Source organism: Homo sapiens, chromosome 10 (assembly GCF_000001405.40).
Source record: "Homo sapiens chromosome 10, GRCh38.p14 Primary Assembly".
NCBI lineage: Eukaryota > Metazoa > Chordata > Mammalia > Primates > Hominidae > Homo > Homo sapiens.
Window position 1 is genome coordinate 129,514,337 of NC_000010.11, and position 13,117 is coordinate 129,527,453.

The following is a 13,117-nucleotide window of genomic DNA, read 5'->3' on the forward strand; positions in this document are numbered from 1 at the left end:
CTTTGTCATTGTGTCATTTATTTTTATTGTAGTCTTTTGTTTTTATTGAAACATAGATTCCATGTATAAATGTGGATTTTATGTATATCTTTCCCCGTGTATATTAGAAGTATTTCAAATCAAATAATTTGGCCAAATGATTTTTCTATATTAAACATTATATTTTCATTTAAACCACTATAATTTCTCCTAGTTCAGTCTGATTCCTTCTTGCTTTTTTGCATACAGTGAGTACTATGGTCCAAATGTTTGTTCTCCCACAAAATTCATGTTGAAACCTCGCCCGTAAGTTGTTGGTATTAAGAGTTGGGGCCTTTGGGGGGAGATTAGGTTAGTGCCCTTATGAAAGAGACTCCAAAGAGGTAGAGCCCTCGACGATTGAGGATGCAGCAGGAAGGCGCCATCTGCGAGGAAGTGGGGCCTCACCAGGCACTGAATCTGCCGGCGCCTTGGTCTTAGACTTCCTGGCCTCCACAACTGTGAGAAAGAAATGTCTGTTGTTTATGAGCCACGCAGTCTATAGGATTTTGTTATGGCAGCTCAGATGGCCTAACACAGTGAGCATGCCCCACCCGGAGATGGCCTTGCCCCTCTTGCTGTCAGCATCAGGACTGACAGAAGCTGGGCCCATGCAGATTTTCCGGAAGCTGTGTCAGGTATTGGGGGTCATTGGACTCTAACCAGTACCCAGCAGACAGATGGGACCTGAGAGAAAGGGTTGGGGTCTGCCCCTTCTCCGCTCCTCAGCTTCCTGCAGTGGCTGGGGGCAGGAAGGAGGGCACAGTTCAGGGGATTGAGAGACGTGTGCTGACTGTCCAGCAGCAGCAGATCCACCTGCAGGCACAGTGCAGCCTGGTGTCTCGTCTGAGAGGACACGTGTGCAGGACAGGCGGGACCCACAGCTGCTGCTTCCCCACTCGCCAAGGCCCCGTCAGGAGCAGCAGCTGCGGCCCTGGGAGCCCACAGTCCAGCCAGGAGGTGGTGAGCACAGGGCGGAGTGTGGGGTTGGGGACTCCACTTGTGGTGTTCCCAGATTTGGGGGATTTCCGCAAGGCCCCGTTGAAGGGCAGTGCTCCTTAGATACAGTGCAGAGTCCTTGGGGTGAGGGTCCTGTCTCATTACTTGATAGCACGTGTCCTGTCTCATTACTTGATAGCACATGTTTCAGCTGGCTCTTTAATGGGAAAGTTGGTGCTTTAGTGGAAGCTCCAGTCCCCTAGATACAGAGTGTATTGCGGATATTTATCCCTTCCTGGCTGAGCGCGGGGCAGTTTCTGCCTGCAGATTTGGGCTCTGGCTCTGGGTTATGGACCTTTGAATGTGGCCATGCCAGAGTTTGTGACCTTGACGTCTTGAGGCATCCTGTAAGTGGTATGACCTCAAGGGAAGAAAGCTAGCGTGGCCTGCATACAGGTGGGCCTGTGGACTGTAAAAGCAGGTTTACTTAGCGGGAGTAATTACCCATGTTGATGACAGCCTCTAACAGAGGTGCAGTCTTCAAATTCACATTTAAATGTCTCTGCCTGCTACTGAGAAATCCACAGCAAGGGAAAAGAGCAAAACAGTCTTTCTGTGAAGGGTCTGTTTTATTTTTTATTTTATTTTATTTTAATTAATGAGACGGTGATCATCCAGGGAACAGGATCTAAACGCAGTCTTTGAACTTGAACTCTGTATGTGGTGTCTACAGGTTTGGGTGTGAGCAGCCTCACTCTGTGCTGGTTCCCAGCTTAAACGTCCAAGGAAGAGCTCATGACAGTTTTTATATTAGTTCTTTAAATATTTTATTGTAAGTTCGTCTCTTCCCAGCCCCTCTTGCTATTTTTATTGCTCCATTTGAAGTTCCAGCCAATAGCCCAGGCCCTTTCTGTCTTTGATGTCTGTATGGTGGGCAAGATCTCATCACGACCCACATCAGCTTTGCTGTTAGAAACGTGTTGCCACAGAGGAGCACATTCATAATTGAAATCACCAAATAGGGAATTCTTTCTAGAGGCAGTGGCTGCCTCAGTGAAACGTGCATGGCTGAGCAGAGCAAGGAAGAGTTAGTGGGGCCGGGGGCGTGCTGATATCACAGTGGCGTGGGGTGGGGTGAAGGGATACAGGTGTGTCCCTCCTCTTACCCGGCATGGTGTTTCCAGAAAGCAGATGGGAGAGCTGTGTGATGAACAGGTGAGACACTGGCTGGACCCAGGTGAGCTGCTATAGAAGCAGAATCAAAACCGTGTAGCACGTTGCCTTCCCTTTCCCAATACTGTAAAGAATTCCTCTTCAATGGAAATCTACTTCAAACTTTTATCAGATTAATTTTAATAAAAAGCTGAATCAATACGAAGCAGCTTGGGAAAACAGCTTTCCCCCACCCCAGCCCCCACCACCAATAACATTTTACAGATTCAGGCCCAGTATTTCTTGTTTCTAATGAGATGGAAGGAGCGGTATTCTTGGCACCTGCTCATCTCCTTCCCTTTGGAAACTCAGCCAGGTTTTTGTCGTTAGCTTATGGGTCGCTAATGTTATGTGCACTCATAGCAGAAATGGAAATCCGCCATCGGTGAAAGTGGAGACCTTTGAGAATTTATGCAGCATCAAAATGTAAATACCAACTCTTATAGAATATTGGGGTTAGCAATGTCGACAGTTCTACCCCGAGTGCGGTTGGTGGTGGGGCTCCAATGGAAACAAACTGGTGTCCAGCAGTCAGCTGTCTGCGCATCCGTCCCTCCCACTCCAGCTTCTCCAGGTAAGACTGGCCATGTGAGCACAGAGGGTAGAAGAAGGCCTTAGGGACACCTTAGAATGGGAGGAGAGGTCATAGCTGGAGCTCCGCTTGGGGGTTTCTGGTGCTCCGCCCATGGCTCCTGGACAGCGAGGGGCAGTCTTCTGAATGGACCTCAGAGGTCCTGTGGTCCTCTTTGGCCAGAGGGCACGGGCCCCCTTAGCTCATTTCTAGTAATGGGATGGGTGGGTGTTAGGAGGAAACACGCAGCCCAGCACAGGCTCCCCAGAGCACATCGTGAATCTTTCTGTCGCCTCCCTGCCCCACCTCACCTCTGTTCTGTGGCCTCCCTGCACTGTGCCCCTCCTGTGTCCTCAGTTGCCACATGACTGACACGTGCTTGGGGCTCATTTGATGGCTCTGGCAACTTTCTCTACCTCGGTTTACCTTTTGGCTGCCCAGTGCTGGATCGCCAGTCTGCTTTACTGTTCACGGGAGGAAGGGTGTCACGGCGTCACACATGGGCATGGCACCTGCGCTGGGGCTCACCTGTCTCATGAGGCCGTATGTCGCACAAGGCTTCTTGAGGGTGGGGTGGCCATGAGCGAGAGCGCTCGCCTCTGTCCTTTTCCTGTTGCAGAGGAGGAAAAAGTCTGGGGCCCTGTTTGCTCAGGGTGGGCTGAGGCCCAGACCAGCTTCCTGTCTCCACACCCTGACTCCAAACCCTCACTGTGACCCCACGGGAAAGCATATTCCCAAATGTAACTGCGACGCCGCAGCCCGGGACTGCTGATTGAATGAATGAGTATTCTCCTTTGGGTTTCCCACAGAAGTTTTCCCCCAGTTCCCTACCATGATGGGTTGTGGCTTTGTCACCCGCAGTGAGAATATGCGAATGCTTTAGCAGATGTTGTGTGGCTCGGGCCTGCCTGCCTTATTTGGAGATATTTCGCACCTCTGTGGGCTCCCAGTGGCAGGCATCTCTGGGGAGGGAGCGCTGTCTCCATCGTCCTTTGGGAGGATGTGGGATGGCTGCACCGGGCACCACTCTCACATGGTCTCCACATCAGGAAGCGTATCTCACCGTGTCCAGCATTGGTGTCCTGGCCAGATGCTCTGTTTATAATGATAGAAAAAAAATTTTTCATCTCTGAAATTTGCCACCTTCTTTCAGCAGCATTTCACTTGGTTTACTTCCTTAATTCACGAAATATGTGAAAAAACTTTATAAATCTTAAAGATGAGAAAATTCTAAATGATGTGTGTACAGATACACACACATACACACACACACACACACACACACACACACACACACATTTGGCCCTTGGACAAGACAGGTCTGAACTGTGTGGATCCACTTACACTTAGATGTTCTTCTACCTCAGCCACCGCAGAGACAGCAAGACTGCCCCTGCCCCTCCTCCCCTCCCTTCCCCCTGCCCCTCCTCCCCTCCCTTCCCCCTGCCCCTCCTCCCCTCCCTTCCCCCTCCCCCTCCTCCCCTCCCTTCCCCCTCCCCCTCCCCAGCCTACTCACCATGGAGATGATGAAGACCTTCATGATAATCCACTTCCACTTAATGAATAGTAAATAGATTTTCACGTCCTTAGGATTGTCTTAATAACTTTTTCTAGTTTATTTTACTGTAAGAATACAGTGTATAATATGGGTAACATACACAATATGTGTTAGTTGAATGTTTATGTTATCATTAAGACTTCCATTCAACAGTAGGGTATTAGCAGTTAAGTTTTGGGGGAGTCAAAAGGTTATGTGGATTTTTGACTGTGTGGGGCTTCAACAGCCCAACCCCTGCACTGTCCGAGCATCAGCTGTATACATACATATTTTGCCGTTTGTATTATAGTAGCTCTGTGCATGGGGCATGTCTCCGCAGGAAGAGGGACTGTCCTGACTCTTGGGCCTGGTGGTGATTGTCTGGGGCACTCCTCCCAGAGCCCTGACTACTGACAGGTCACTTCAAGAATCAAAGAACCTCGACTATGATGTCATTTTTCTGTAAGCCCTGGACTACTATAAATTATGTTTTATCTGTCATAATTAAGACTCGGAGACTACCAAGCTGTCTTCGAGGGGAAAGGCCTGTCCCTTTCTCCAGAGAAATAATTAATTGTTAGAGTATATGGTTTTTGAAGAATTTACTGTAAGATAAAAGACTGGTATTTTATTCTTGCATTTATTAGTATTTAATCAAATGGAAAGTGCACTTTCAGCCTGGAAATCTTGGCTTCAGCTGCAGGATTAGACTGAATTATTGTTTAAAGAGTAAAAGGTATAGAATTATATGTTCAAGTTATCAAGCCACTGATAGGTTTTGGGTATAATGTAACTAATTTAGAACATAAAATTTCCTGCCTTGTGGACTAGAGCATCGGATTAATCATTTGGAAGCGGGGCGCACTTCCTCTGCTGCGTGGCCTTGCGGTGAGATGGAGCCTGTCGCTCCAGGAGCACGAGACCTTTACGGAGTTCAGTGCCGTCAAGGCCCACTTGTCCACAGCCACCGGAGCATGTTGGGAACACCGGGAGCCGCTGGAACGTGTCTGGAACACCAGGCTCTTCCATTCGGGACACTGAGTCATAAATCATCCCATGTGTCTCATGCAAGAATTCTTCCCTGCAGAAATTTCATGAAACTTAGTCTTTGCTAAGGGTAAAGAGGATTTAATTCTCTTTGTTCTCAGTGGTGTGCAGGCTTAATGCTCATGGGTGTTGACTGGTGGCCGGCACATCAGTGGCTCGTGGGTGTTGACTTGTGGCTCCTGGCATTGCTTTGCATTAGAGGATAGCCGGCCTCTCTACACCATGACTTAGAAAATTCCAGCCAGGCACAGTGGCTTACACCTGTAATCTCAGTGCTATGGGAGGATTGCGTGAAGCCAGAAGTTTGAGTTCAGCCTGGGCAACATAGCAAGACCCTATCTCTACCAAAAAAGAAAAAGAATAAAGAAAATTCCAGAAAACGTTTGTGACAGCATCACTGTTGAGGTTGTAGTGCCACAGGCAGTGCAGCAAGCATCTGGTTTATCTGCGTGAGCTCATGACGTGTTCATCAGTGGGCAGAAAAAGATGGGATCAGACAAAACAGATGCTTTCAGGATCCTTCAGATCAGGATGGCAAATGTTTCCTGAAATGGGCCAGGCCAGAAATATTTCTGGCTCTGTGATGTACAGCCGCTGGCACAGCTACCTGACCCTGCTGTTAGAGCTGCTGCAGACAGGACCCAGAGGAGGAGTGGGGCTGCTACCCATGATGCTAGACCGAGGTTGCCGAAACTGGAGTGTCCCATTGTATGCACGTGTCCTAAAGCATCTCCTTCCATCTCCTTGTCTACTCCTACCGTGCGCATACAGAGCCCCTATGGTGCGAGTACAGAGCCCCTGTGGTGCATGTACAGAGCCCCTATGGTGCAGGTGCAGAGCCCCTACGGTGCAGGTGCAGAGCCTCTACAGTGCATGTACAGAGCCCCTACCGTGCAGGTGCAGAGCCTCTATGGTGCGGTGCAGAGCCCCTATGGTATGCTTTCAGAGCCCCTAAGGTGCACCTACAGAACCCCTAAAGTGCAGGTGCAGAATCCCTACAGTGTATGTGCAGAGCCCCTACGGTGCGGGTACAGAACCCCTACGGTGAGGGTGCAGACCCCCTATGGTGCGGGTACAGAACCCCTACGGTGAGGGTGCAGAACCCCTAAGGTGTGCCTGCAGAGCCCCTATGGTGCGGGTGCAGAGCCCCTACGGTGCGGGTACAGAACCCCTATGGTGCATGTACAGACCCCATATGGTGCGGGTACAGAGCCCCTACAGTGCGGGTGCAGAGCCCCTATGGTGTGCATACAGAACCCCTACGGTGCGGGTACACAGCCCCTAAGGTGTGCCTACAGAGCCCCTACGGTGAGGGTGCAGAGCCCCTACGGTGCGCGTACGGGGCCCCTACGGCACGCAGGCTTGCCCCGCCACCTGCTGTCCCCGGATTCCTGTCAGATGTCCGGGTGCCCAGCCTGACTGGGCATGGCCCTCCTGGAAGCAGTTTCAGGGCCAGTTCTGATCTCAGGTGGGGATGGAGAGCTGGTGTCTGGGCCTCTCAGAGCTCAGGCCCCGCACATCGTCAGAGTGACCTCACCAGCTCCAAGTGCCCCTTTTCCCTCAGTTTCATTATTTGGGAAGTGAGGAGGTCACACCAGGCTGGACACGGGATTTCAATCCGTGTGTCCCCCTGTTGCCCGGGGTGGCTGCATGCAGGGTGAGTTCAGGGAAGCTCTGGATGCAGTGAGCGAGGCCCCGCCCAGCCTCTTGGTGGGAGTCACTGGCCTCACAGCTCACTGCAATTCAGAGACCTGCAGTGTGAAGATTCTTCCAGATTACTGGATGGAAGGGACTTCAGTGACCTCATGTAAGAAAGGAAGTCACCCACTGGTAGCCTCAGAGAGGGAACCTCTGGCAGTCTGGCTCACAGCCGGGGCTAGATTCAAACTGTATCCAAGAGCAGCTGCTGAGAGACCCACCTCAGTCCTGCAGGAGTCCAGGCTCTCTCCCAGGCCCCCAGGGAGGGTGTTTCCACCTGGTACCTTGGGGAGATGTGACCAGAGCTGCTGGAGGGAGCGTCTACCTGCTGGGGTCAGGGGGTCTCCATCCGCCCACAGTGTCGGCTCAAGAAGTGTGTGCTGTCCACCCCAGGCCCAGGGCAAGTCCCACGAGGCCGAGGCTGCACCTTGCTGTCCAGGGGGCCGCAGCTGAGGCCTGTGCAGCCTCCCCGGTGCTAGTGCCAGCATGGTACAGGAGTCGCAGCTCCAGGAGGACATGCAGGCTGCCTGCCATGAGAACATCCCTCTGCTGTTTGCAGACCGAGGCCCATGGGTGCAGAAGGAAGCGTGCCGGTGCAGGGCACGCAGGGCCGATGGGAGATGGACTGACCAGTGGTCTGGACCGAGCAGGCAGCAAAGGGCCCTGTGTGCTGAACTGAGCTGCTGGGACTTAATGCACACAGAACCACAGAACCACAGAACGTAATGGAGAAGAATTGGGTAAGGGTGAGTGGGAGATAAAGAAGCCATCAGAATGCTGCTGAGTCTGGTGGGGGTTGGAGGTCACCGGAAATAGCTCCTCCCAAGTTTTACTCAGATCTTCTTGGCAGGGTGCATCTTAGCATTTGTAGAATGCACCAAGGAATGCCTGGGAAGGGCATGGGGGCCCTGCAGGGGTCACAGGCTGGGAGAGGAGGGGCTTACTGCCTTGGGCCCCTGGACACAGGTAATGCCTTTGCCTCAGGTGGCCAGAAGTGCCTGTAGGCTTTGCAGAAAGCTACTGTTCCTTTCCTGTGTGGGTGTGTGACTCCTGGACGGTTGCCGGAGATTGCCCTGAGGCTGGGGTGGGTGCCCGTCCTGGAGCCCCCATCCCACAGTGCTCTTTGTCCGTAGGATCTGCGCACACAAGGGTTTGGTTGTTGAACCTGGAGACACACATTATGGTGAATCCCAGTGTTGACTGATTATATCATTAAGTGGGTCACATGACACAAAAACCACACGTTCTGAATGTACAAATTCCATCCCAGTGCAGGTGGAAATTTGTATTAACCATGGCTTTCTTCACATGGCTTCTTTGCAAACAAACACTTGGTACTTTGCTAGTACAAGGTCCTTCCTTGGTGGGGAGGGGTGTAATCCCATGTCGATGTCTGGACGAGGAGAAAGAGGAACTTCCCCTCAGCCAGTGGACGAGACTGTCCAGGCTGCTCCACAGTGGCCACAGAGAGCCCCCGGCACCTGCTCGGGGCAGGAATTGGTGGCTTTGGCCACCTTGCTTAATTGAGAAAGTTGATGTTTCCGTCAGATCTTCTTGTGTTCGCACATGTTACCTATTCTCTAAGAAGTCAGTGAAACTTCACCCAACTTTAGAGGCTATAAAGAATGAGGTTATTTTCTGCCATGACATATTTAAGCTGAAGCTTCCCAAGCCATAACAGTTTTAAGAAGTGACATTTCATTTTGAACACCAGCCTGCCACCTCTTTACTCCTCATGACAGACTGTCACTGTGCAGCGCAGCAGTTAGTTGGTTCCTGAAGTGCCAGAAAATTCCCAGGTTGTGAGGAGTGTGCTGCTGGTGGGGTGAGATGTGCGACCCGGCGGGGGCCTCGGCGGGCACAGGCGGGAGACCCGGGCCAGAGCCCTGTGGGGTGAGCGCCATCCTGGCCAGGCCACACGGCCGGGGCAGCTTCTTTCCCTTCTGCAAGGCAGTTGGCATTATCGCGGATGTTAGCATAGGAAGTTCTAGCGGGACTAGTTAAAAATGAGGGAAAACATGGTGTTCTCTCATTGTCTTTTTCCTAGTAAACTAAAGGAATCATGCTTGATGAAGGCTCAAGTGTAGTATGATTCAATCGGGCATGAGACTGTGCTGAGGTCTCGGATGTCTCGGGCCTGGGGTCAGCTTGAAGAGATTCATAGGCGGGTCTCGAAGCCCATGCTGCTGGGAGGGCCGGGCTGCCGACGTGGACGGGTACAGCTCCCTGGTTCACACAAGACTTGGGGTTCCCTCCACCGTGGAATCCGTCTTGCTTTCACGGGATTTGGGGACTGTGAAATCTCTTCTCTTCTAATGCATTCCCGTTGTCTAGAGGCTGGGGAGCACCATTTGATTTTAAAGGACAGCCACAGTCCTGCCAGCTCCATAGAGAGAGCAGAGGTGGCCTCATGTTCTGAGCAGAGGGTGCCATGGTATTTCTGACCAGGCGGGACCCTGGCTGGACTCACGAGATTGTGTGAGTCCACAATGTGCTTGTCAGAAGCCAGGCGTCCTGGAGTTAGGGTCAGATTCCCATGGTGGGTTTCATTACCCTCCTAGAGACTGGCGGGGTCCCAGCCTCTTGGAAGTGTCCGCTCAGACACTGCCAGGTGCCTTGGAGGTAGCAGAAGCATCTCTTGATGGCAAGTGTCCATTGTGACCTGTGTTGAAGACAAGGTCTGTGTGAGAAGGTGCACTGGTACCTACTGTGTCCTGATGACCTGGGAGTGTCGTGAAGACAGAGCAGCCAGTGACCTTCTGAAACCAAAAGAGTGGCTGCCCACTCTGCCTCCTGGCTCTGGCACGGGGACGGCTCCAGGGTTCTAAGGCCTAAGCTGGCTGCACTACCTCCCGCCCTCAAGGACGATTGGCATCTCTGGCGTGCTCAGGCCCCTGCAGCCTTGCCAAACAAACAAACAAACAAAAACAACTTGTAATTTTTCATTTTATCTGTATTTTGCCATTAAAATGTTGTTCTCTACACAATTAGCTGCAGGACGCACAGTGTTTAGCCTGTGGACGTGTCTCCCAGCTCTGCCATGCACCGTGCGTGTACACCTGAGTGTACTCAGGTTTGCATACCCCCGACACTGGGACATTGATGTCATGGAATCTCTTCATATAGATTTTTCTTTGGTCTGCAGTGACATGGCAAGTGGTAAAGCCTTTTATGAAACCTCTTAAAGAAACAGATGATAGTTACTAAGAAGCTTCCAAAAAGACTTTTTTTTTTTTTTTTTTTTTTTTTTTGAGACAGAGTCTCGCTCTGTCGCCCAGGCTGGAGTGCAGTGGCGTGATCTCAGCTCACTGCAACCTCCGCCTCCCGGGTTCACGCCATTCTCCTGCCTCAGCCTCCCGAGTAGCTGGGACTACAGACGCCTGCCACCATGCCCGGCTTATTTTTTTATTTTTAGTAGAGACGGGGTTTCACCGTGTTAGCCAGGATGGTCTGGATCTCCTGACCTCGTGATCCACACGCCTCGGCCTCCCAAAGTGCTGGGATTACAGTTGTGAGCCACCGCACCCGGCCCCAGAAAGACGTTTATAGGCTCATCTTGACAGTGTTCTGGTATCACAAACCAATTGTCAGTTAGAGCTAGAGTTGGTTTAGCTAAACTGTCGGAATGGATATGGGAGTGGCAGTTATAATCTGGAAACATTGTTCCAAAGTGCTTTAAGTTCCAGGGAATTTTTGGAGCAATTTGTTAAAACTGTACACATTTACGTTTTCTGCCCTTTTCTCTAGGTGTGATCTATTTCTTTCACACACACACACAGCAGTTTGTATGTTAACTGCTTGCTGACTGATTTCCTGCTTGATTGCACAGATTCAAAGCAGTGCATGAGCTTCAGAACAGCGTTTATCTTCCTGCATTACTCATATTTAGTTCCATATATGTACCAAAGAGAAGAGTTCAGAAAAGAAAACCAGATTTTATTTTAAGTATGATTTTTAAATGTAGACAGGTGCCAGTTTATATCTCAAAATGGGTGATTTAAAGACCAGTGAACAGATTTCCTTAGATGTCCGTCTGCTTCTGGGATCTGATGTGTAGGCATCTTCACGTTGGTTTTATAATGTGCCACGCGTCAGGTGTTATTTCGATGACTATGCTGAGCCCTTTAATAAGACGCACGTGCCTGGGGTGCTTCTGGAACCTTGCCACCAGGGCTCATTCTTTGACCATCCCTAATTCCCCAGGGCTCTTGTTGTTAGAGTATTCTTTACAACCAAAGCATCATTAATCAGAAAGGTGCTGTGCGGTGCGGGGCCGGCTCCGATGACAGTAATAAAAACCGGCACACCTCCTGTTCCAGGACCCAGACCCTGGAAGTCTGTGCCTAAGCCAAGACATGAGCAGCGTTTGTGGAATGCGGCTTCAGATAGAAACCTTCTTTCAATTTGCAGGCCTGGTTATGTAATTCTAATGCAGAATCTCCCCCTTCGTGTTTGCATGCGTGTAGCCGGGTTCACAGAACTTTAGCCACAAACAGGAGTGTTTCCCTTTTTCCAGGGCTCCCGTGTTAGGCCCCCACCAGGAGGCTTTGGGGTGGCGTTTGGGAACGCCGTTTGGATCCCTTCTCAGTTTGACATCCTAGGTGGCAGCTCCAGTTTTGTTTGGTGAAACGATTTCAATGTAACAGAACCCCTTTCGGTTGTGAGAGCAGAATGAACTGAGCCGCACTTGACTGTCTTGTGCTGGATGTGACCCAGCCGAATCCACGGGGAGACCCCTGGTTACAGCGGGGACCACGGGTGGGGTCTCAGCCGTGGCCCTTTATACTTGGTGAGCATCAGCCACACCACGTGGCCAGGTTTATGATCAGGTGATAGGGATGAAGTGTTTTTGACACATGCTTTTCTTTTTTTAAATTAAAATACTATCTCATGCCTGATTTTGAGGTGGGCTGAGCATGAGTCCTGAGGATGAGAGGGGCTTCCCCAATGCCCCTTATTCCCTGTTCAGAAGGGAGATTGCAAAGCTAGTTTTCATCTTGTGATGTCTTTGTGGGAGGTTGTGAGGCAGTCAGACACGGTCCTCTTCCTCCCCCAGGTGAGCCAATCTCCCCCTTCACACAGACCCGAAGCCCAGGCCACAAGGGACCTGGGCTACCTTGTTTGTAAACAGCTTACAAGGAGGCTGGTGATTTCTCCCTTTTAACATGTTCGTTTTTATGTTTTTGAGGTGTGGTCTCACTGTGCTGCCCAGGCTGGTCTGCAACTCCAGGACTCAGGCGATTCTCCCACCTCCGCCTCTGGATAGGTCGGACCGCAGGTGCACGTCACCACACCCGGCTAGTCTGTTTCTGTGTGTTTTCATTGCACAGGATACCAGCAGTGGAAATGGTTAAGAGGGAAAGACACAGAGCTGCAAAGATGGTCCTGGAAGGACGGTTTTTAGACCTGACAGTTTTTAGTGCAGCAGGCCTGGAAAACGACTACCAGTAGGGGAAAAAGAAGAGTTTCTGTTTCTGGGTCTCTTCCTTTTAATATGGCAGGAACTGGCCTCTGGCGCCAACTGCTTAATTCAGAACATTGTTATTTAAACGCCATTCATGTTAAAAGGGAGATGAAACGAAATTCATTTTTCCAGAGGTCTCCAAATAGCCATGAAAAATAAATTTTTTTCTGCCACCAAGTACCATCAGCCACTCATGTGGTTTAGGTGGATGCCGTGGTGGTGCCGGGAGCACTACCAGCCTGTGGGGCCGTGGGCTTGTGCTTCGCCGGAGTGGGAAGTGGGGACATTAGGAAGCCCGACTGTTGAATCGCCTGGGCGTCCTAAATGTGGGCTGTGTTGTCGTCCCTGTGCAAGCCTGAGAGGCAGACAGCACTGAGTCCACTGGATGCCTGCTTGTCTGGTTGCCCCTTAGACTATGGTACTCTCAGCAACACGGCTGTCCCATTATGTGCACATGCCCTGTTACAGCTTTTGGAGCCCCCCTTAGGACCGATGGTTCGAATTCTGGAAGTCCTAAACATTTGGGTCTTCCACGTCGCTGTTTATTCTGCAGATTTGAGGCTGGCGTGTTTGAGTTAGACGGGACACTGGGGCTGCCCGCTTTCCTTTGATGGTACGCCGAGGGCCTCTC

General features: G+C 51.0%; 1 protein-coding gene across 1 annotated transcript in view, besides 2 other annotated features; it reads left to right on the forward strand.

Moving 5' to 3' along the window:
* Positions 1-13,117, forward strand: part of MGMT (O-6-methylguanine-DNA methyltransferase) — a 303,743-nt gene that overhangs the window by 47,096 nt on the left and 243,530 nt on the right. The gene's annotated exons all lie outside the window — the stretch shown is intronic.
* Positions 6,158-6,673: an enhancer, noted in NCBI's record as "H3K4me1 hESC enhancer chr10:131318758-131319273 (GRCh37/hg19 assembly coordinates)". NCBI's record gives its function as "activates a minimal SCP1, AML or CMV promoter by ChIP-STARR-seq in naive H9 embryonic stem cells {active_cell/tissue: H9 hESC(naive)}" and the evidence as "EXISTENCE:reporter gene assay evidence [ECO:0000049][PMID:30033119]".
* Positions 7,705-8,219: an enhancer, noted in NCBI's record as "NANOG-H3K27ac-H3K4me1 hESC enhancer chr10:131320305-131320819 (GRCh37/hg19 assembly coordinates)". NCBI's record gives its function as "activates a minimal SCP1, AML or CMV promoter by ChIP-STARR-seq in naive H9 embryonic stem cells {active_cell/tissue: H9 hESC(naive)}" and the evidence as "EXISTENCE:reporter gene assay evidence [ECO:0000049][PMID:30033119]".